The 22,646-nt window shown below is 38.2% G+C and overlaps 2 annotated features.

Moving 5' to 3' along the window:
- Positions 5,568-5,737: an enhancer, noted in NCBI's record as "experimental_83469 CRE fragment used in MPRA reporter constructs". NCBI's record gives its function as "activates a minimal promoter by MPRAs in K562 erythroleukemia cells, with activity observed for the introgressed 5:152494710 or rs75526615 variant allele {active_cell/tissue: K562}" and the evidence as "EXISTENCE:reporter gene assay evidence [ECO:0000049][PMID:34662402]".
- Position 5,653: a transcriptional cis regulatory region, noted in NCBI's record as "Neanderthal adaptively introgressed variant 5:152494710 (GRCh37/hg19 assembly coordinates) or rs75526615 in the experimental_83469 CRE". NCBI's record gives its function as "modulates activity of the experimental_83469 enhancer by MPRAs in K562 erythroleukemia cells {active_cell/tissue: K562}" and the evidence as "EXISTENCE:reporter gene assay evidence [ECO:0000049][PMID:34662402]".

Raw genomic sequence — 22,646 nt, forward strand, 5'->3', positions numbered from 1 at the left:
CAAATCTGGGTTAGCTGTCCCTTCTTACAGAGGTTTGGAGATGATCACATAGTGTAGTATGCTTCTGGAGCAAGTGCACTGGCTTTGGAATCAGACAGTTTAGGTTCAAATCTCATATCTGTCACTTGGTGACTGTTTGGCCTAGAACTGTCCCAGTCATCACCTGTAAAAACTAAAACGATTGCAGTCTAGGGCAGGATATATGATTGACATCACATAATGCATGTAACACACCTGCTAAGTTACAATCAATGGTGACTACATTATCATTAACAATATTGCTACCTAATCAGCACATGACACTCTGTGTATACTACTATCACATGTTTAACAGTGTAATAAATATATACATTTTTCGAGATGGAGTTTTGCTGTTGTTGCCCAGGCCGGAGTGCAATGGCGCGATCTCAGCTCGCTGCAACCTCCGCCTCCTGGGTTTGATTCTCCTGTCTCAGCCTCCCAAGTAGCTGGGATTACAGGTGCATGCCCCCAACGCTTGGTTAATTTTTGTATTTTTAGTAGAAATGAGGTTTCATCATATTGGTCAGACTGGTCTCGAACTCCTGACCTCAGGTGACCCACCCACCTCAGCCTCCCAAAGTGCTGGGATTACAGGCGTGAGCCACCATGCTCGGCCTAACAGTATAATAAATATTATGTATCTTGACAGTTTTCCCACTAAATTGTGTGTTCACAATAAAGGAGTGGTTTGTAATGCCTCTTTTTAACTCATAATGTCAAGCATCATATCTTGTACAAGGTAAGTGTATAATTGATATAATTGATAATTAAATCTACTGTGATGTTGACTATGTTGAGTGCAATCCTGTGCCTGGCACCCTGTTATAGGCAGAGCAGCTAGCAGATTGGGCATGATGCTTGCCTTCATGGAATTGTCTATTAGAAGAAGAGAGTCAGACAAATAATTTCTTTTTTTTTTTTTTTTGAGACAGAGTCTCACTCTGTCACCCAGGATGGAGTGCAGTGGTGCGATCTCGTCTCACTGCAAACTCCACCTCCCGGGTTCACGTCATTCTCCTGCCTCAGCCTCCCAAGTAGCTAGGACTACAGGCGCCTGCCACCACGCCCGGCTATTTTTTTGTATTTTTAGTAGAGACGAGGTTTCACTGTGTTATCCAGGATGGTCTCGATCTCCTGACCTCGTGATCCGCCCACCTCGGCCTCCCAAAGTGCTGGGATTACAGGAGTGAGCCACCATGCCCAGCCCCCAACAAATAATTTCTTTTTTTTTTTTATTGTACTTTAAGTTTTAGGGTACATGTGCACATTGTGCAGGTTAGTTACATATGTATACATGTGCCATGCTGGTGCGCTGCACCCACTAACTCGTCATCTAGCATTAGGTATATCTCCCAGTGCTATCCCTCCCCCCTCCCCCCACCCCACCACAGTCCCCAGAGTGTGATATTCCCCTTCCTGTGTCCATGTGATCTCATTGTTCAATTCCCACCTATGAGTGAGAATATGCGGTGTTTGGTTTTATGAAATAATTTCAACCGTGAAAAATGTCAAAGGGGAAAGCAAGGGAAGCTGTGGGAACATATGGTAACAGGATTCAACCTTGTCCAGAGGGACAAGGATTCACTGCCTTCTGCATCTTTGAAACTTGCTAGACCCCAGCACAAAACCTCACATGACAGGTATGCAACAATTGTTCATTAGTTTCTTTGTAAGAGGTGTCAAGCATGTACTATTCCGTTTAAGTTTGTTCCTCTTCAAACTTTAGTTCTCCAGATACCCATCCAATTTTACAACCTTGATGAAGCTTGATGGTCAGCAGATGATTGGATTAACTTAGAAAAAAGGAAAAGCGAAATTTGCATATAAATGCAAACATGTTATTTTTTCTTATTTAAAAGAAAACACATTATCCTGGCAGGCCAGGGAGATGGAAATTTTTTTTAAAAATTAAACAACAACAAAAAGAATGCTAACCACAAGGTCAATGCTGAGAGTTTGGGGAAAACACAGAAGACATAAGAGAAGGAAGCACAGCAAATTACCAGAACTAAGTGGAAATCCTGAGGGGGTTAATGTGCTAGGACGGTCTCATAACAAGTAATTAATTTTCATTATCAATCTGTACTAACAAGTTATATCAACATAACTATAAATAGCTGCAGAAGCATGGATTTGAGGTTTTGGAATTTTCTTCCAACCTAGGATGTTGGTGCTACACAAGTCTATCCACACATTGTTCATCTCAGCTGCATTCTCATGTAACCTTCTCTCAGAATGATGAGCACAGACTATAGATAATCAGTTAGAAAGTACACACTCTATAAAACAAAAGTTGCTTGATTTCTGGTTGTGATGCATAATGGCCATGCGACTTGGATAAAATAACTTCTGTTAACCTTAATTTCCTCTTTTGGAAAACTGAAAAACTCCTGTCTCACAAGGTTGAAACCCAGCCTGGAAAAAAGAAAAATAGGAAACTATGCTAAGGGTTAAATTTCTTGTCAATGATGCAAAAACAATTCCCTCTGAAATTCATCAGGTTTTGTAAAATGTACCAGACCTTAACTTTCCAGTGCCAATAGCCAGTTCCAGGTGAAGCAATTACCAGGTTGATTGCAGGGGCTGGGAACTGCTGGAGTGAATCACTGATTAAGAGATTGATTTGGATTTCTGTTTGAGCTGTGTTTGATTAGCTTGCCCATGACAGTGAGCAATCCAGTCTCAATGGGCACATTCCACTGGACACAGAATAGCTCCATATTCCCAGCCCCAATTGCCATTCAGGAAAGAGGCATAAGTTGGTATCATTAACACATGTTCATTTATTTTAATGGGGCATTAGGACTGATTTATATGGTAGCATTAAAGAAGAAAGATTACTCCAGACTTATAACTATATAAGAGCACTTAACATTACCTTGCCAATAAGCCTTCTAAAAGGATGAATACCATTGCCCTCAATTCAAAAAAAGATTTCACTGTGCCACCAGATTTGTCAGCAAAAAAAGGGAGCAGGAGAACACAGAAAATCAGCTTCAGCTTGCATGTTTCTTTCTGTTATGAAGCTCATATTACTACTGGAGAACTCAAATGTTAGTAGAGACCAAAATCACATTCACTTTTCTGAATTTCTAAGAATAGGCTGCTATAATTCCTCTTAATCGAAATGCTTTTCTTTTATTGGTAATACTTTAAGATAATGGTATAATCAGTATTGATTTTACTGTTACACATCGTAACAGTCTTAAGAGCACTCAGCTCCATTTTTCCCAGAAAAGTCAGCAAAAACATTGCAGTTTATCTCTTCATATACTTTCTCCGCTTCAGCATTAGTTCCTCCTCAATTCCTGTTTGCTATTCTGCTCCCCACTTCCCCGTGGTTGTCCCTCTTTCTGCATCATTAATCAATGGTGGTTCTATGAGAAAAGAAACATGGAGATGAAAATAGCATAACTCATGTCTGCTAACATCAGGCTTACACCACTGAAAACATAGGAAAAAAATACCTTTCTAGGAAATGCCCTGAAACAATTGGTTAAAAGAGAGCTTGCAGTGCCTGTGTTTGTATTGATGTGAGGAGAAGTAAGCTTTTATTTGTAATCTATTTAATTTCTCACTTTCCCATTAACCTTCAATTTTGCGAAGACAAAATTTGACTCGGAATCTTCACCATCAAATCCTCAGTTATTATTTGTCACACACAATGCTCAATAAATACATTTGTTTGCTGACTTTGTTTGCTGGTACTATTCTCCTCCCTGGTCACTATCACCCCTCTCTGTTAAGGAAGTAAAAATGACAGGCAATCATCTTCCACTTCGGCTTTATTCAGACCTTTGCAGGCTGATATGGCTTCTCAAGTTCATCCCAGAACCTTGATGCAATGGTCCATTTATTGTACAAACAGACAAAAGAATATTCACAATGATAGATTGTAAGAAAAAGTAATTTGAGAAATTCAGAGCTGGAAAGAGAAGAGAGTTCCCAAAGTAACAGTTCTACTTAAGTCTCTACTCATGTTCTGAACCAATAGGATCAAAATTCTATTTTCAGTCAAGTCATAGAATCAAGAGCAAATATTAAAAAATGTTTACCAAAAAAGCTTCACATGCTTCAGTATAAGCTCCATTATTATTATCAAGACAAGAGCATCTCAAAATTAGAGACATGTTGTTTATGTGAAACTACCTTACACTGGCTTTCAAACTCAGTATACCAGTGTTTGTATTAACAGTACCTCACTATTCCAAAAATAAATGCAATCAGGCCTCCAGATACTTCTAAACATATTGGACTTTTACTTTCCACCTGAACACAAGAAATTTCCCAGGTGTTTCTGATTTTTATGTATTAAAATAAGGTATAAGACATATCCATTGATCTCCCATATCTCTGATGCCATATCTTGTTAGTTTGAAATGAATTCATTTTTATTTTATCTTTCTTTCAATCTAACACCATCCATAATTTCACATAAGAATGAACTCTAATATGCTCATATCTCATCAAGAAAGATAATGGCCCTGCCAAGAAGATATATTTTTTTGGATGTGATTCTTCAGTGAAGCAGAACTTTGTAGAAGCAGAGAGGCTGGAATGACATTTCTGATTTTCATAGATTTAACTGACCCTGACATATTCTCAGGAGAAATGGCTTTGTCAATCAGGGGAACATCAGATTTAAATTGCTTATTTTGGTATTACTACCCATTGCTTTCCTTTATGCCAAACATTTAATCTGATGAATTTATTATTCAATAGTTGGTGTTTTCACCTACGCTGTAAAATAAAAACAATTCAAGTAAGTAATCACAGGAAACAGACTGTTATCAACTCATAAAACCTAGTTCTCCCAACTAGTATTTTAAGCCCTGAAGTCTTTTGAATTGTTAAAGCAATGGGACAAAATTCATGATTTCTCTCCTATTTATAGGAAATGGCATAAGAGAGAAATTGTGCCCATACAAGTAGATGGAGTAAGAAGGAATGTTTTTGGTGTGGTGTGGCAACTGGCCACACCTAAACTGTATGTGTGTGTAGTGGGGCGGTGAGGGGAAAAAACCTAACTTCCAGTTCTATCTGCTTATATGACATATCCAGACTCTAACATAACCCTAGTTTTCATGAACCATTGAACAGAGATTTACAACTTTTTCAGCACCAGGGACTGGTTTTGTGGAAGACAGTTTTTCCACAGACCAGGGAGGAAAGGGTAGTTTTAAGATTATTCAAGCACATGACATTTATTTTGCACTTTATTTCTGTTATTGCATTGTAATTGATAATGAAATATTTATACAACTCATAATATAGAATCAATGGGAGCCTTGAACTTGTTTTCCTGCAACTAGGCGGTCCCATCTGGGGGTGATGGGAGACAGTGACAGATCATCAGGCATTAGATTCTCATAAGGAGTGCACAACATAGATCCCCTTCATGCACAGCTCATGATAGGGTTTGTGCTCCTATGAGCGCAATTTAATGCCACTGCTGATCTGACGGGAGGCAGAGTTTGGGTGGTAAGACGAGTGATGGGGAGTGGCTGTAAATACAAATGAGGCTTTGCTCACTAGCCCACTGTTCACCTCCTGCTGCATGGCCCAGTTCCTAACAGGCCACTAGCTGCTAGTGGTCTATGGCCTGGGGGTTGTGGACCCCTGCTACAGAACATATACCTCCAGTACTCCAGAGCCAAAATGAGGTAAATCTGTTATTAAAACAATTTTCAGGAAGAGGCAAAATTATGATTCTCATACAAACATAAAAATGTTAGAAATTTTGTTTACTCATGATGGAGCCAGCAGATACACAACCTGTACAAAGGAAGAGTCATAAAAGCACAAATTTATATAGAGTAAAGGGATCTTGAAATGAATTACAAATGGAAGCACACTCACCTCCTCACAGGGGAGGAACAGAACAGGAAGTAAACTTCTGGCAGATGGGACAGAATTTGCATGCCTATTAGATACCTACAATTTTCAGTTTTAAAATAGCTCCCATAGAATCAGAATGTAAAGCATAAAGTGGAAGGGTGTGCTGTAGATAATGTGTAGTTTTCTGCTGCAGTGCACAACCTTTTTCTTCTATACTGTTATAAAGTGAGAACTAGGAAGAGGGAATAAACAGGTGAGAAAATAGGCTACAGGCACCCTCTCTGGGTCTAAACAAGCAGACTAGCTAGCTCATACTTAGTCATCTCTATCTTGACTAGTTGCTGCCTCTGTTTCTCACACACCTCTATTATTGCTTGAACTAGGAGTTGGCATTTACCTATTTGCATTGAAACAGTGCCAAATGTATGGGTAGGTTATCCAGATATATACCCAGGATTCTAACAGTGCTGTGCATGTAGAGATGCCATTCAAATACTCAAATATTTCATGAATCTGTACTGGAGACCTGTGCCAAGACACTTTCTTCTATGCTTATGGTATCTCAATAGTATAAGATAAAAATGAAAGAGACAACTGTGTCTCAGGAGATTTTATTGGCACAACTGGGAGAAGAAAATACTCTGCTCCCAATCCTACCTCAAGCAAAGAACATCCACAAAGATTTTATATGTGATTCACCACCCAATAATACTTCATCTTTTCTCACTTCCTTTCACCTTCACTTTCCTCTCATCATCACCATAAACCATATCCCACAATAAAAGTCTTGCTGGTTTTGCCTCTCTGGGCTATTCTTGACATCCCGTGACATACACAGCACCCCTAATAAAGATGTGAGGATGTAGGACATTGCTGGCCATTGTAGATTTACTGGTTTCTTGCCATATTTAAATCTGGCATTGTGTTTTTAAAGAACCCAAGTTATATGTCTTTTACAGCTGATGAAGAAAACTAGCTTTTACATATTATTCATAAAAGTAACTAGATTTTTATCAGGCAGCCATAAAATGCCACTAATTAAAAAAAAATCAGAGAGTCAGCAAGATATTCAAAAGCAATTCCCTAGGAAAACAAAGAGAATAAAGACAATTAGTAAAAGATAGCCATTAAGTCTATTCCAGACCAGAGGGGGTGGGAAAAAAATCTCCAATGCCTGGGTCCAAACTAGAAAAAGAGGGAGACAATGCATAAAACTTTCATTCCTTTATTGAAGTTCACTTTTATTGTTTTAAAATCTTACTATAAAGGCTTGATATAATAGTAACTAAATGAAACCACCAAAATGGTAGTTTTGATGCAAGACGAGACTGTGTTATAAGCAAACTTGTTTTTCTTCGGGGGTTGCGGGCTTTCTCCTGGCTTGTTTGATTTCCTAATGCCACCTGACTGCTGAATTTGTCACTCCATTTCACCCCATTTCAGCAACACTCCATGCTTTAGGCTAATTGTTCTGAACTGGGGTCCATTTGCCCCTCAGGAGACATTTGAAAACCTTACATCTGGTGGAAGGGAAATTAATACTTTTTTAATTTGCTTATAAAGAGAAACAGCTGCCTCCTCTTCCCCTCTTGAAAGAGTCTCCTTGAGAATGTGGTAAACCTGAATCTTTTCTAACCCTTGGACTGTAGATAAATTTCTCCAGGGACTAGAAAAGCATAGTCTACAATGCAGAGTTGTCTCCAAGGCCACAGATCTTTAACCCCTTGAAACATAAGGAAACCATTATGGAGTAAACATAGAAATGCACCTCCAGATATAATTGTCTTTCAGGGAGACTAAAGGCATCTTTTGGGGAGATAAGTCATTTTATTGTTCTTTCAGGAAGATAATTAAGTAATAGTTACCTTAATTCCCAAGAGAACTTTGTACCTGCTTTGCTGTATACATTTTTTAGTATTTTATTGGCTTTGTAGTCTTTTATAGGCTATCTAAATGCGTGTAGGCTGTTCTGCTTGTTCAAGAATAAACCAGTTTATTTTCACATTGATCTGGAGAATTTCTGTGTTAATGGAACATTTCTTTCCCCCATACTGGAGCCATTTTTTGTCATGGGGGTTGGTGGCAGGGAATTTGGGATTACTAGTGGCTATTTAGTGGGTAGAGGCCAGGGATATTGCTAAGGATCCTACAATGCACAAGACAGCCCCCAACACCACAGAATTATCTGGCCAAAAATATCAACACTAACGTGATTGAGAAGCCCTGCTCTAGGCAAAGGTCTTAAAAATGAGCTACTGGAATAAAATATTAGACTAAATTTGTAATGCATGCTGGTGGTGTCCCACCAGGTTTCCTTCAACCTATTAGGTGCACCTGCTCCCCAGCTGCTGCAGATAACTGCCAATGGCTCCCACCTACACTATTCTCCAGTAAATTGCTCTCGACTGACAGGAGCCACCCTTGCCAAGAGGATGCCTAGGAGGTATAACCCTCCTGAGAGTGGCTGTCATAATTAGTCACTGATGCTGGGGTATAATACTCCAGACCCCCTTACCTCTGGGAGACACAACCATTTTGGTGTAGTTTACATTCCAGGGCTCCCTGTGAAATCACACTGAGGTTAGACTTCTCCTGAAATCATGTACTTGCCAGCTTCTTCCCCTACCTGATTCTGCTCCTCTCACTCTCTTACAGGTTTCTCTTTAGAGTACCCCCTCAATAAATCACTTGTCAAGAATCCCCACCTAAGGGTCTGTCTGCTTCTAGGGAACACAATCTAAGACCTACATATAGCCTTCATCTAAATTAAGAAATTACATTGCACTAATATTTCATACTTGTGCTGACACTAGCACCATCACCCTGCCCTGATGTCAGATGTTGTAAGTCACAGATGACATTCAGGCCGCTCCAGGCAAGGCTGGGATTTCTATGACATAAAAGAGTTGACAAGGATGATCTCACTCATTTTTTGCTAACAGCATATTGCAAAATGTTACACTTCAGCTGTGCTAGGTTAAGCTGATTTATAGATTACAGGTTAGTTTAGCCAAAACTAGATAAGGTAAAGAATGAACAAGTGGCTTTAAAAGATCAGTGAAAAGAAACCTCAAATTGAAGATAATGTTGATGATGCAAGCACCAGAAAAGAAAGAAAATGGCAGAGCTGCCACTTCTGGAAAACCCTTCATCTGCCATATAATGGGGTAGAAGCAATGAAGATCCAGTTGATTCTGAAAAGTCAGTAAGATATACTGAAATTAAAAAGGATTTCAAAAAAAGTATCAATTTATACTTACAACCATTGAATGTCTAACATCAAGTATTGTCCTTAATGTATATGCTGTGACTTGAAATTATGTAATAAAGTATAAAACCTTCTTAAATTAACAAAATGTTTGCCTAATAGACTGAAAATGGCTGCCCAAAAGATATCCATGTCCTATTCAGGGAAGCTATGAATATTACTTTATATGTAAAAGTATCTTTGCAAATGTGATTAAAGATTTTGAGATGAGGAGAGTATCCTGGATTATCGGTGGGTTCTAAATTCAATCACATGTCTTTTTATAGGAGGGAGGCATAGGGAGACTTCACAGACACAGAGAAGGCAATGTAAAGATGAAACAGATTTGAAGATGACGACTTTGAATATAGGAGTGACGTAGCCACAAGCCAATGAGTGCCAACAGCCACCATAAGCTGAAGAGTCAAGAAATGGATTCTTTCCAAGAGCATCTAGAGAAAGCATAGCCCTGTTGACATCTGATATCAGCCTAATAAAATTGATTTTGGACTTCTATCCTCTAGAACCATGAGAAAATAATTTGTTATTTTAAACCACCAAGTCTGGAAATTTGTTACGGCAGCCACAAGAAACTAATACAGCTTGTTTATCTAACTTTCTTTTGGACTCTAACATAACTTACATTTATATCAGTAATTATCTTCACATTTCATTTATAAAAAACAACTTATCCTAAAGAAGACAAATGATTAAATAAAACAAAAACCTAAAACTACTCCTCCCCAGAAACAGAAACTGAGATTTTTTTATTGTTGTTGCCTACAAAGTGTTTTAAAACAATTTAAACAAATATTTAAATAACAAGGCATTCCACATGTAAATCCAAACTTCCAGCTTTTTTGAAAAATGGGAAGCTCTGGCAACCCAACACCCACATTCTCACAGCCACACCAGTATCCATATTCCCAATTAGACACAGTTGACTAATGAATATCGGCTGGCCCTTTAGGGTTACGTGTTACTCAGTTCTCACCTGACTGCTCACTTTTACCCTACCTGCCTACACCTTGCATGGTGAGAACTGTCAAGCTTCTAACTTTTCCCAGTATTCCTTCCCCATCATTTTTATGTTCCTCATCTCCTTTCTATGTTTTTGTTTCTGCTCAGCAGCAGCCATTACAGAAAAGGAAAAAAAAATGAGTATCACAATTGTTCAGTAGACAAACATTAGTACCGTACTGCCACGTATTTATGAACTAAAAACATTCTGGATTATTCCACTCAAGTCCATGAATTCTCTAGGAATTGTGTCTAGAAAACAATTGGAAAGATAGCTTGACTGGGAGTTAAGATTAAGTTCTCAGGCCCAGACATATCTTAAATTTACTTGAGACTCTGGGCACATGTAGGCCATGTGACCTCTCCAAGTATCCATTGCACATTTTCTAAAATAAAGCAGGGTTTGAGGGGGAGACAGGAAATTAAACTATATCAGTGTTCTGAAGATCCATATGGTCACACATCTGTGCCTTTGGAGCTGAGGTTGGGAACCAAGGGCCTACAGGCAGAGTTGCCAATGCTATGCCCACTTCAGTGTGGGCAGGCCTGCTCCCTGCCTTGACATGATCTACCAGTCCCTGCTTGGTCTCTTCTCCTGTCTAACTGAGTGGCCACACTTCAAGTCATTGTCTCCATTCTCTGCTCTCTAGTTTTCTTCCCACTTCCACCAGTGCTTTGGCTTGCTCCAAGCCATTGTGCATATCTGATTAGATCATTTCTCTACTTGAAATATTTTTTAAAATTCCCCACTCTGAAGATCAAATTCAGTCTCCTTGCCCTGCAGGGCCTCTGGTCCTTTCAGGGTCTGGTGTCTGCTTACTTCTCCAGCTTCAGCATATACCACTTTCCCTCCCATGTTTTAACTCTATTCCATGCTGCTCTTATTTCCATTTTACAAATAGGACAAACCCCTTCAACCTTGGGGCCTTCCATTTTACTAGTCCCTCTGCCTGGAGCTCTCTTTATGCCTTCTCCACTTAGTCAACAACTACTCATCCTTGACAGGGCAGCACTAAGACCAAGAGAAAGCTGTAATGTAAATGGTTTGGACTATGATAAATGTATTTCCTTATATAACAAGCCATCTGCAGATGGAGTTCCAGAGTTAATTTTGGTGTTAGGTAATCTCATCCAGTTCATAGGTATTCCCTGTCTGCGGTCCCTTTATGTTCACTAGATAGCTATAGCACAAGCAGGTATTGCAGGAGGATGCTTGAATTCCACAGGAGGTGGTGGCACATTTCCCTGTGTACGTTTTTGTTAGGATGCAGAATATTTCCCAGAAGCACCTCCACAGATGCCTTAGCTCCAAATGACCATCATGGAACACATGTCCTTTTTCTAACTGAAAAGGAAGGAAGAAAAAGAAGTAGAAAGTCAGCCCTAACTATGTGTGGGTTCCACATCCGTGAATTCAATGAACAGATCAAAAATATTTGGAAAAAACCCTAAAACAACAAACAATGCAACAATATAAATGCAAATAAAAAATATAGTATAACAACTACTCACATGGCATTTACATTGTTTTAGGTATTTTAAGTAATCTAGAGATTACAAAGTGTAAGACAGGATGTACTTAGGTTATATGCAAATATTACACCACTTTATATCATAGACTTGAGCATCTGTGAATTTTGGTATCCTCGAGGGGCCTGGACCCAATCTGTCCCACAGATATTGAGGAACAACTCTTCAGCATCTAGAATGAGAGGCAGAGTCTACTACAAAGTTAAGAAAAACAAATAGAAAACCTACATATTCAGGCAAGATCAGGCTTTCCTGGTTGGAGTATTCCAGTCTCCTATTCTTTCAGAATACTTACAACATTGGTAATCTATAATTATTTTGGTTATGGCTTTGGTCAGCATTGGTTTCCTCTACAACATTACAAGTTTCTTAAAAACAGACACTGAGTCTTAATTACAGCTGTCTATCTTCTCTTCTTTGATGCTGCAGTAACTCCAATTCCAGAGGTCTCAAGCTGTTCCCAAACTAAAACATGTCCAAATAACAGTTTATACATCTACACTGCAAAAGTCTTAAGTAGATTCACTATACCACAGATAGACAGTATAAGTAAATGCTTGCTAAAAGTAAGGCCAACTCTGGAGTCAGAGTAGTGGGTTCATGGGCATAGCTGTTAACTTGCAATATGACGTTAGGCAACTACTTAACCTGGTAGAGGATCATTTTTCCCTGCTGAAAAATGGCGATAGTGATAACAACTTTATAAGGTTCTATTGATGAGTCAATGTGTGTGGGTAAATCTCGACAAAGAGCTTGGCAATACTTAAGTCAAATGATTACTATTATCAAGATCATTATAATAACTACTATTAATAATTATATTACAAGAAGATACTTGCTTCATTTTCTTCCTTACCAATATCCTAATCACAGGAACCTCCAGCAGAAAGAACACACAAAGGTGTCAGTAGCTCCCTCCTCTGACATTAGAGGGGTTAATTATGAGAACAAAGGGAACACATAAGGACTATCAGACCCTGGAGAAAATAGAATTCTTCATCAACCAGAGCTCAGAGGCAGAGGTCACCATCTAAAGGTTTTTGTGCTGCTGTACAATTCAACCTAATTCTGTTTAGATATTAGACTTCCCCAGGGCAAACAACGAAACTCTTTAGCACCTTCCAAGTGAAAATTTGGTAAGCCTATTGAAAAAAAAAAAAAACAGCTAGCTTTCTTCCCAGCACATTTATCATCATTGTTATCCTTGCCCTAAACACCTTTGAAATTCAATACGCTAGAACCCATGGTATTGCTTTAAAAAAAAAAAAAAAAACAATGTTCTGAGAAAAATATAAATATCTGGAGAGAGCAGGTGCACATGGTCACTTGGGGGGAAGAAGAGGATGCATTATGGCTTCAAAATTGCTGTCACACCTCTCAGAATCACATTTTCACCTGCCACTGAGCTTGCTTTCACTGTGCTTTGTGGTCTCTGTCTCCCCTACTGTGACTTGAGCCGCCCCTATAAAAGTCATCTTCACCACTTTGAAAAGTGCTGCCGGCCTGGGCAAACATAAGCTAGAATAACTGAGTAAACAAAGCCAGGTGCAACTTGAATGCAGGTTTAAAAAAAGAACATCTTTCAAGGGAAAAAATTGAAGGTTTGGTTTTTATAACAGGCTGCTTAACAGGAATAAATACTTGATTTAAAATGGGCACTGTGGAAAGAACCAGAGAGGGAATGCATATGTGTTTTGTATTACTGAATGTCTTATTCCTTAAAAAAAAAATGCCTGAAGAAATTAATATTCCAGGTTTGGTGGTTCTTCCACAAACACTGAGTGAATACTTGTCATTTATGGTGGCAATGGCATGGATAGTTAGAGTTCGAGCCTGAATGATTTGACAAGTTAAATTATCAATTGACTGTGTCTATATACAAATAAAGAACTTATAAAGGAGAAGGATATATAGCTGGTTAAGTGTAGAGACAACACTTAATTAAATAAAAACTGAAAAAAAATCACTATGAATAGAGAGACTTCATATAAAATATTGAGAGTCTGGGTGATTGAAATAGTTGTCATCCATATCAGAAGAGTTGAACACATGTACTAGCAGAGAAAAATCTAAACATCTACATGAATATATTCCCTACACCACCTACATGCCACCTGATGTGGGCTCAAATGTAGAAGGGTTCTCTATGTTTCTTTATTCACATCCAGAGTTTTGTTTAACTTGTTCAGTAGTAGCTAAAATGGAGAATGTCTTTTTGTGGTGTTGGTTATCAGTACTGGCTTAAACTCAGAACTAGATTCGTTAAATTCCAATTAATCTAAACCTCAAAGCAGGTGACATTATCAGTCACTGAACTTGACATTTATACAAAATAAAAAAAAAAATTGAGCCTGGAGTAGTGGCTCACGCCTGTAATCCCAGCACTTTGGAAGGCCGAGGCAGGCAGATTATTTGAGGTCAGGAGTTCGAGACCAGCCTGACCAACATGGTGAAATCCTGTCTCTACTAAAAACACAAAACAGTTAGCTGGGCTTGGTGGCGGGCACCTGTAATCTCAGCTACTTGGGACGCTGAAGCAGGAGAATCGCTTGCACTGGAGAGGCGGAGGTTGCAGTAGGCTGAGATCACGCCACTGTACTCCAGCCTGGGTGACAGAGTAAAACTCCGTCTAAAAAATAAATAAATAAATAATAATAACAATTTCATGGATACATCTTCCAATCAGAGTCCAAAATAACATTTAGGGGCAAAACTGAATGTCAACCAGATAATGTTTACCTCCCCCAGAACAAAACTTGTCACTGGGTGTGTTTCAAAGGAATATTCAAACCACATGTATGGAAGTTTGAGAAGAAAATATATAAAGGAGAGCAAAAGCCTATACTTAAAAAACAAGCAGCAGTAACAAGATTAAAAGAACTACCATTATGGCCAGGTGTGGTGGCTCATGCCTGTAATCCTAGCACTCTGGGAGGCCGAGGTGGGTGGATTACTTGAGCTCAGGAGTTCAAGACCAGCCTGGGCAACATTGGGAAACCCTATCTCTACTGAAAATACAAAAAATTAGCCAGGCATGGTGGTGTGTGCCTGTGGTCCTAGCTACTTAAGAGGTTGAGATGGGAGGATTGCTTCAACCTGGAGGCTGAGGTTGCAGTGAGCCAAGATGGTGCCACTGCAATGCGGCCTAGCCTGGGTAGAAGAGCAAGACTGTATCTCAAAAAAAACAAAAATAAATAAATTGCTATTAGAGTTGTTTTCTATCCCGGAAATTTTGTTAATTAAATAGCATAAACAAAATCTTCAGTGGATCATTTTCTGAGAAAAAAAAGAGCAAACCAGCAAAAACCTTTACTCTCTGTACTATGAATATCATTTTACCCCAAACTGCCCATGCAGGCAATGATAAATGAGGGAGGGAGAGGCGGGGGAGATGCGGGGAGAGGTGGGGAGAAGGGGGGACGGGGGGAGATAATAATTAAGATATAGAGAAGTTAGATTGAGGCTCCTCACATGTATTTGATAAAAGTTCTAAAGGGCCCAAGAAAAAGAGAAGATGGAAAAAGCAATATTTGTATGAAAATGGCTGAAATTTTTCCAGAAAGCAAGAAAGTCATAGATTTCAGATTAAAAGAACTGCTAGTGTCAAACAGGACAAATAAAATAAGTCCACATATGACTACATCATAATCACCCTCCAGAAGGACAAAGATAAAAACAAACAACAACAAATCCTCATAATTTACCAGGGATCAAAAGCCTATTATTTTCAAAAGAATGCCAATTAAATTGAAAGCAGACTTTTCATCAGCAACAATAAGATGCCAGCTCCAAGCAGAACTGAGGAAAAATAGTCAAGCAAGATGTGTCTCCCAATCAAACCAAAATAACCATTAAAGGAAGAAAAATGAATGTAAAAGAAAGAGATGCAATTTACAAAAGTACAGTGAACACAAACCTTGATTTTAAATATTCGTAAATGTTTAGGTGACTAAAAACAAGGGTATGTCTATTTTAATTAAACTTTTGTTTTGAAATAATTTAGGTTACCATTCACTTGCAAGAAAGAGAATAAATTGATTCCAGAGAGACGCTTTTGTTTGTAGTAAAATACAGAGGGCTGACTGATAAATGGGAAGGGCATAGGGATTTGGGGGGAAAAAAATCAGTATTTTGCAGCCATCGTAACACAGACTGATTCATGCAAGAATCATTAAAAGGGAAAATTATAACAGGAATCAGGATAGTATGATATTTATACTAAAGAGCCTGTCTTTATTACTTGGTGTTTGACTAATGATATATTTTAAGCCTCACCCCTCTCTCTCCCCATTTTGCCCCATATCTGGGCAAGCTGATAAGAAAGCCCGGGTGCTCCCTTTAGCACTGGCAGGAGTCTGAAATCAAACAAGTCCCTGTCCGCCCCCTAACCATAATAAAATGCCCATGGCGGTCTCTTTTTCTCACTTCTTTGCAATCCATTTTTGGACTAGTTTGGGAAGTCTTTCCTGCTTTCCCCCGAAAAAGTCTCTAATTATGTCAGTAGAATGTATTTTTTTTAACCTCATGATGTGTGGCATCATGAATCTCAACATCCAAATGAACTTTTCGGTTGGATTCCATCCTGTTTATTCAGGGTAGCCCCAACAGTCTTAAAGTATCTGGTTCTAAGGGAAAACATAATTATACAGTGGAGAAATGAATCAAACCTTGATTAAGTGATGAAAATTGATGACACTAAAATGTAGCTCCCAGGTACATCCTGAAAATGGCATGCATCTTTGTAGTTTTCCAACTGACAATGGGGAATTTAAAACCAATTCTGAAGAAACAAGAGATAAATCCAAAATGAGAAAAATCCCATCAAAAAAGGGAAAGGGGTACAGATTTAATTCTTCAAAAAGTCAGTGTCATAAAAATCAAAGGCTATATAAATGTGCCAAATTAAAGGAGACATGACAATGAAATGACAAACCTTACCTTAGATTGGATTTTGCACGAAATGGGGAAGAAAATGCTATAAGGACATTGGCTCAACTGACAAAAATGAAATATAGACACTATATGAAAATTCCACAGCAGTGTCATATTTACTAAAGTTGATAACTGCTCTGTTATTTAAGAGAATATCCCTATTCGCAGGAAATACATACTTAAGTATTTGCCTGTAAAGGGTCGTGATATAAGTAATATATCCTTAAGTGGTTTAGAGAAAAATTGTGTATATATATTCACATACATAGAGCAAACACACAAATGATAAAACCAATGTAGTAAAATATTAACAATCAATGGATCTAGGTAAAGGTTACACAGATACTCTTACTACTTTTATCCTTAAAAATTTTTCTGAAGTTTTAATTTTGAAATAAAAAGTTAAAGACTTGCGTGTTCTTGAACATGCATAATCTTAAAAAACAGCAACAGCATTAGTGACAGATTTTTAATCTACATATATCTCAATAAGTTAATACTTCAGATACTTTTAAACAGATTTTTTTAAATTGATGGCATACATATTCCTGCATCAAGTAATAAATATGTATTTTCAAAACTCATGAAACATACACAGAGTTTGTCTAGATTCAGTTTATGTGACAAAGGATCATTGATGACAATATATTTAGATTAGAAATAAACAGGAGAAGAATCTTATAATGCTTTGGAAGATGAAAAACATTTTTGTAATACAAAGAACATCAAATTGGAAATGATATTCTTAGAAGTGAATAACAATAAAAATACCATGTATCATAACTAGTAGGAATCAGCTAAAATGCTACTGAGAGGTAGAATTATAGCCACACTGAAATTTTTAAAGAAAGGTTTAAAATAAGATAAACATTCCTCTTCAAAAGGTGAAATAGAACACAGTAAGTCAAATAAAAGGTGGAGGAATAAACAAAGAACAGAAATTAATCTAACAGAAAACATGATATGATAGTAAAAGTAAAAAAAAAACCAAAAGCAAAAGTAATATCATCAGGAAGTAGACAAAGCTTTAGCTAGGCTTAATAGGGAAAATAATACTGGGAAAGAAGAAAAGTGACAACTGGAGATAGGACAGAGTTTGTATCTGTTGACTAAATAACAAAGATAAGTTTAAAAACATTAGCCAATTTTCTGGAAAAATAATCAAAATCACCCCAAACAGTAGAAAATTAGAAGTTTTTAACTTGAAAAAATCAGTAATAAAAAATATATTGCACCCAACTTCACCTCAGTAAAGTTTTAAAGATCCACCCTAAATGATACCAACCAGCAAGAAACAGGTATCTCTTATCTATTAGATTTGGAAAATAGGAAAGGAGTAACCTCTAACAATTATGAGACTGGTTTGACATCAAGCCAGAGAAAGAAGATTTTAGAAAGAACAATTACATCATTTCACACGATTACATGCATCCAAAAGATTTTTGGGGAAAAAAACATCTAATTATTCACAAGCACTCTGATTCAGTATAAATCTTTCTAATTGTTGAGATACTGGTGTCTCCTACTACGCAGTTAGCCTGTCAAGAAAAAGCACTGTGAATTATTTACTTGGAACCATAGCAGAAAAGATTTTAAATAGGCATGACCATAGAATCAACTATAGAGGATTTTTTGTGGTTATTTTTTCATTTAGATTTTCAAATTTTACCTCCCAATAAATTGATTAGGTAGGCCTATAAAGGGCATAGTCATTCTTATTTAAGAAAACAGAAAAACAAAATTCTACAAGTGACTCCACTGTACAGGTCTAATTAATAACTACTTTACTTGAACATATTAGAGGATCCACATGTAAGAGACTTTCAGTAAGTGCTTGTTAAATAGTATTTGATTTGTAATATCCCTATTGTGTCTTTGATTTTTCTCCTGATTTCTTATAGCTTTCTCAGAATGGGGTCTTTCTCATCTAGGAAGTTTTAGTCCCCTTTAGCCCAAATCTGCCTTTGCTTATACTATATACTGAGCTCTTGGGGCTCACTCTTTGTTTGCCTGCTGTGTCCAAACTCATAAACAGTGTCAAATCCACTGGATTCCTGGAACAAACATGACACTGGAAAAGCCAAAATGTAGAGAAGATAGAAGCCCTCAGCACAAAGAATCAATACTCAATGACTACATGGCTCAGGCATGAGCAATGAGATGGTTAAAGTTGACATATTCCTGATACGATCTGCAGTCTCAGTGACTGTGGTATTAAAAGGTCTTCATGGACAGCCTCCTGGGATTAAAGATTTTAGCATTAGACTGTTCCCACAAGGTGGCAAAATAACCTGGAGAAATAAAAAAGCAGCAGTTTATTAACCTGTCGTTTTGCTTATACAATATATTTGATTAGACTTAAAAGCAAATTAACTATCACAGCTAAGCAAATGACTGGGATAAAGGGCTATCTGCATGCAGAGGTTGAGAACCTGTGTCTTTTCAGGACAGGACTTTACTCAGAAGGGTCCTGGGGAGGCGGAGAGGAGCACTTGAGGAGCACTCATGCACACCTTCCTGGAGACTTGAGAAAACATTCTGCATGAAGGAAGTATGAGAAACAGATATAGGAAATTATAGAGGAGTCACAGATAGATTTTTCTCAGAGGGTGGAACAGTTGGGGAAATTTGAATTAATTTTTAAATTCACAATTAGTATGACCTCATCTGTTCTCACAGGCCAATTATCAAGCAAATTAAGTTTAGATAACAAGTCCTTTAGTAATGAAAGATTTATTTTGGAAATGAGATATTACTTGGGAAAAATTAGAATTATATACAGGAAAATAGAGATATATTTATTTAAATATTTCACCAAAGACTGACTTTGATAGGCAATGCCATTGTGCAAGAGACACCACTGGAAGAACAAACTCACCAATAACTATTGCATAGAGTATAAACATGGTCTAACTCAACAGTGTCTATTCCAGGAACATAAGACAATTATTGGGGGAAATTCAGGTGTGCTCTAATGCTAGGCCAGAAGCATGTTTCTCTTAAGTATTATCTTTGAGTCACTTTGAAAGTGATTTCCTAGTTAGAATAGGTGACATTTTTCTGTCTTTCTCCAAAGTTTATTTCCTTTATGGAGGAATCAATGCTCTTTGTTTCTGATCTTTCTGCTTTTAAGCATTATATTACAAACATATTCATATCACAGTCCACAGGCAATTGATTATACACACAGAAGTGCAAATTATTCAAACCAAGCAACAGTTATTAGCTGGTGACCTTCAGTAGGGTCACACACGCTCCCCAGTATCCAGCTGTGTAAGTAGTCAATACTAAATGTATTCTAGAGTTGCTTACCACTGATTTGGTAAGAACAGATGTATGCACATGAGGTGATTGGTAAACAAGCCAAAATGGTTTATAATTAAATTTTGTATTGTGTGACTCAGTCTATTAGTGCATTGGATCAGAGAAGGGAGAGATCAATGTGATTTGAGTCACTAAAAGTTTTGGAGGAGCCTACATTTGTGTTGACACTTGAAAAAAAATGGAGATAAGCAAGAAATTAAGATTTAAAAATTCTTTTTGGCCACCTGATATCTAAATTTCTTCTGGTGTTTTAGAAATTCCCTATCATGTAAGGCAGAGCTGGGCTACCAATACACAGGCTGAAAATGTCACGTGCTTTTTTCTCCCATCAGCTCTTCGAGTTTAAACATGGCCACACCACCTGGGTTTGCCAAATCAGATGCTTCTAACCCAAACTGCCAACCAGAAGCTGGGATGTTGAAGAAAGCAGGGATCATTTGCCAAATGGTCAGCTACAGAGTATCTTCACTAGACTAGTTTGAGGCATAATTCTGGGCATTGTACCTGGCTTCATGGCTTCAAAACGCCTTTCTGGTTCTCTTGAATATTCTCATATGCTACCATATATTCTTTTAGTAAGTGTGATTTTCCTCTTAAACTTGCCAGAGGTAACTTCTATTACTTTCTACTAACAACCTTGAAAGTAGTAGAAATGCTGTACATACAGAGACACTGCAGAGAAGACGCAGATGAGAGAATTAACACATGGTATTGATATAGGCATTAAAAAGAAATTATTTAGGTAGATAATGAGGGTAAGGAAGCCCTTGTTAAGGTTGCCCTTTTAATAAAAGCAGCCCTGAAATCATTTTCCTTCCTAACAAAGAGCAGCCTGTAAAAATCGAGCTGCAGACATAGACAAGCAAGCTGGAAGCTTGCATGAGTGAATGCCAGCAGCTGTGCCAATAGGAAAAGGCTACCTGGGGCTAGGCATGTTCAACATGGAAGCTCCATCTTCCCTTTTCCTCACCAACCACATATACAGTAAGGAGCAGACAACATGGAACTGGCCAAGTGGAAAACCCATTTGCATAATAAAAAGATTAGGATGGGGTGGCCAGCTTCCTCAAGCACTATGTAAACATCACACCCAGTCCAATCAATCTGTGGGCCATATGTAAATCAGGCACCACCTCCTCAAGCCAGTCTGTAAAATCCAGTGCAGTTCTCTGTAGGCCGGAAATCTCACTCAGGCACCTCTCTCTCTCTTGTCTTTCTCTCCTCTCTCTCTCACACAGGAGTTTTTCTCTCTTCTCCTTCTTTTGCCCACTAAACCTCAGCTCCTAAACCCACTTCTTTTGTGTCCATGTACTCAATTTCGTTGGTGTGAGATGACGAAACTCAGGTATTTACCCCAGACAAACGAGGCCGCTTCAGTATGAGTTTCAGGAGGCACCTAACCTGGATAAAAGAATAACAGAGAAGGAAAATCTTTTCCCCCCCCTCAAACCTAGCTAAGATGTCATTTGGGCTTGACCAAATTAACCACTGAATACCAGAAACTTAAAAAGATAGGTGGCCTATTTGTCCAGACAAAGAACAATGGTACAGTAGCCACAGTTCTTCTCCCAACCTCATCCCAATACATGATAGTCTCACGATCTGGTCATTTTTCCTAGTTGGACAGGATAGTGGGGGATGTAATATAAATGATGTCTTCCACTTGGACACTAATCTCTCTTTTCTGGGTCCAATCAGACAACTGTCTGGAGAGAAGCTAAGGTCATAAGTCTAAAAATATGCTACATTGACAATCTACAACAAATTTCTGAGGAACTTGTTTAGAAGTGCAGATTCCCTGGCATATTAGTCTGTTCTCATACAGCCATGAGGAAATACTAGAGACTGTACCAAGGTTGTACCTTGACCTCTCTTAGCCATGGCTGGAGCTGAAGAAGCTGGGACACAAGACACTAGGTCATAAGGCTGCATAACCCATTGTCTTGGTGATTAACATTTGGCTCCTCTTTATTTATGTAAATTTCTTGAATTTCTCCCCAGAAAATGGGTTTCTCTTGTCTGTCATATCCATCAAGCTGCAAATTTTCTGAACTTCTATGCTCTGCTTCCTTTTGAATGCTTTGTTGCTTAGAAATTTCTTCCACCAGATGCACTAAATTATCTCTCTCAAGTTCAAACTTCCAGAGATCTCTAGGGCAGGGGCAAAATGCCACCAGTCTCTTTGCTAAAGCATACCAAGAGTGACTTTTACTTCAGTTCCCAACAAGTTCCTAATCTCTGAGACCACATCAGCCAGGAGTTCATTGTCAATATCACTATCAGCATTTTGGTCAAAGCCATTCAACAAGCCTCTAGGAAGTTCCAAGCTTTCCCACATCTTCCTGTCTTCTGAGCTCTCCAAGACTCTAAGAAGTTCCAAATTTCTCCACATTTTCCTGTCTTTTTCTGAGTCCTCTAAACTGTTCCAACCTATGCCTGTTACTCAGTTCCAAAGTCGCTCCCACATTCTAAAGTATCTTATAGCAATGACCCACTACCTTGGTACCAATGTACTGTGTTAGTCCGTTCTCATACTGCTATGAAGAAATACCCGAGACTGGGTAATTTATAATGGAAAGAGGTTTAATTGACTCACAGTTCCACATGGCTGGGGAGGATTCAGGAAATGTACAATCATGACGGAAGACACCTCTTCACAGGGTGGCAGGAGAGAGAAGTGCAAGCAGGGGAAATGCCAGACATTTATAAAACCTTATGATAAACTTATAAATCA

The sequence above is a fragment of the Homo sapiens genome, chromosome 5 (assembly GCF_000001405.40).
Source record: "Homo sapiens chromosome 5, GRCh38.p14 Primary Assembly".
Taxonomy (NCBI): Eukaryota; Metazoa; Chordata; class Mammalia; order Primates; family Hominidae; genus Homo; species Homo sapiens.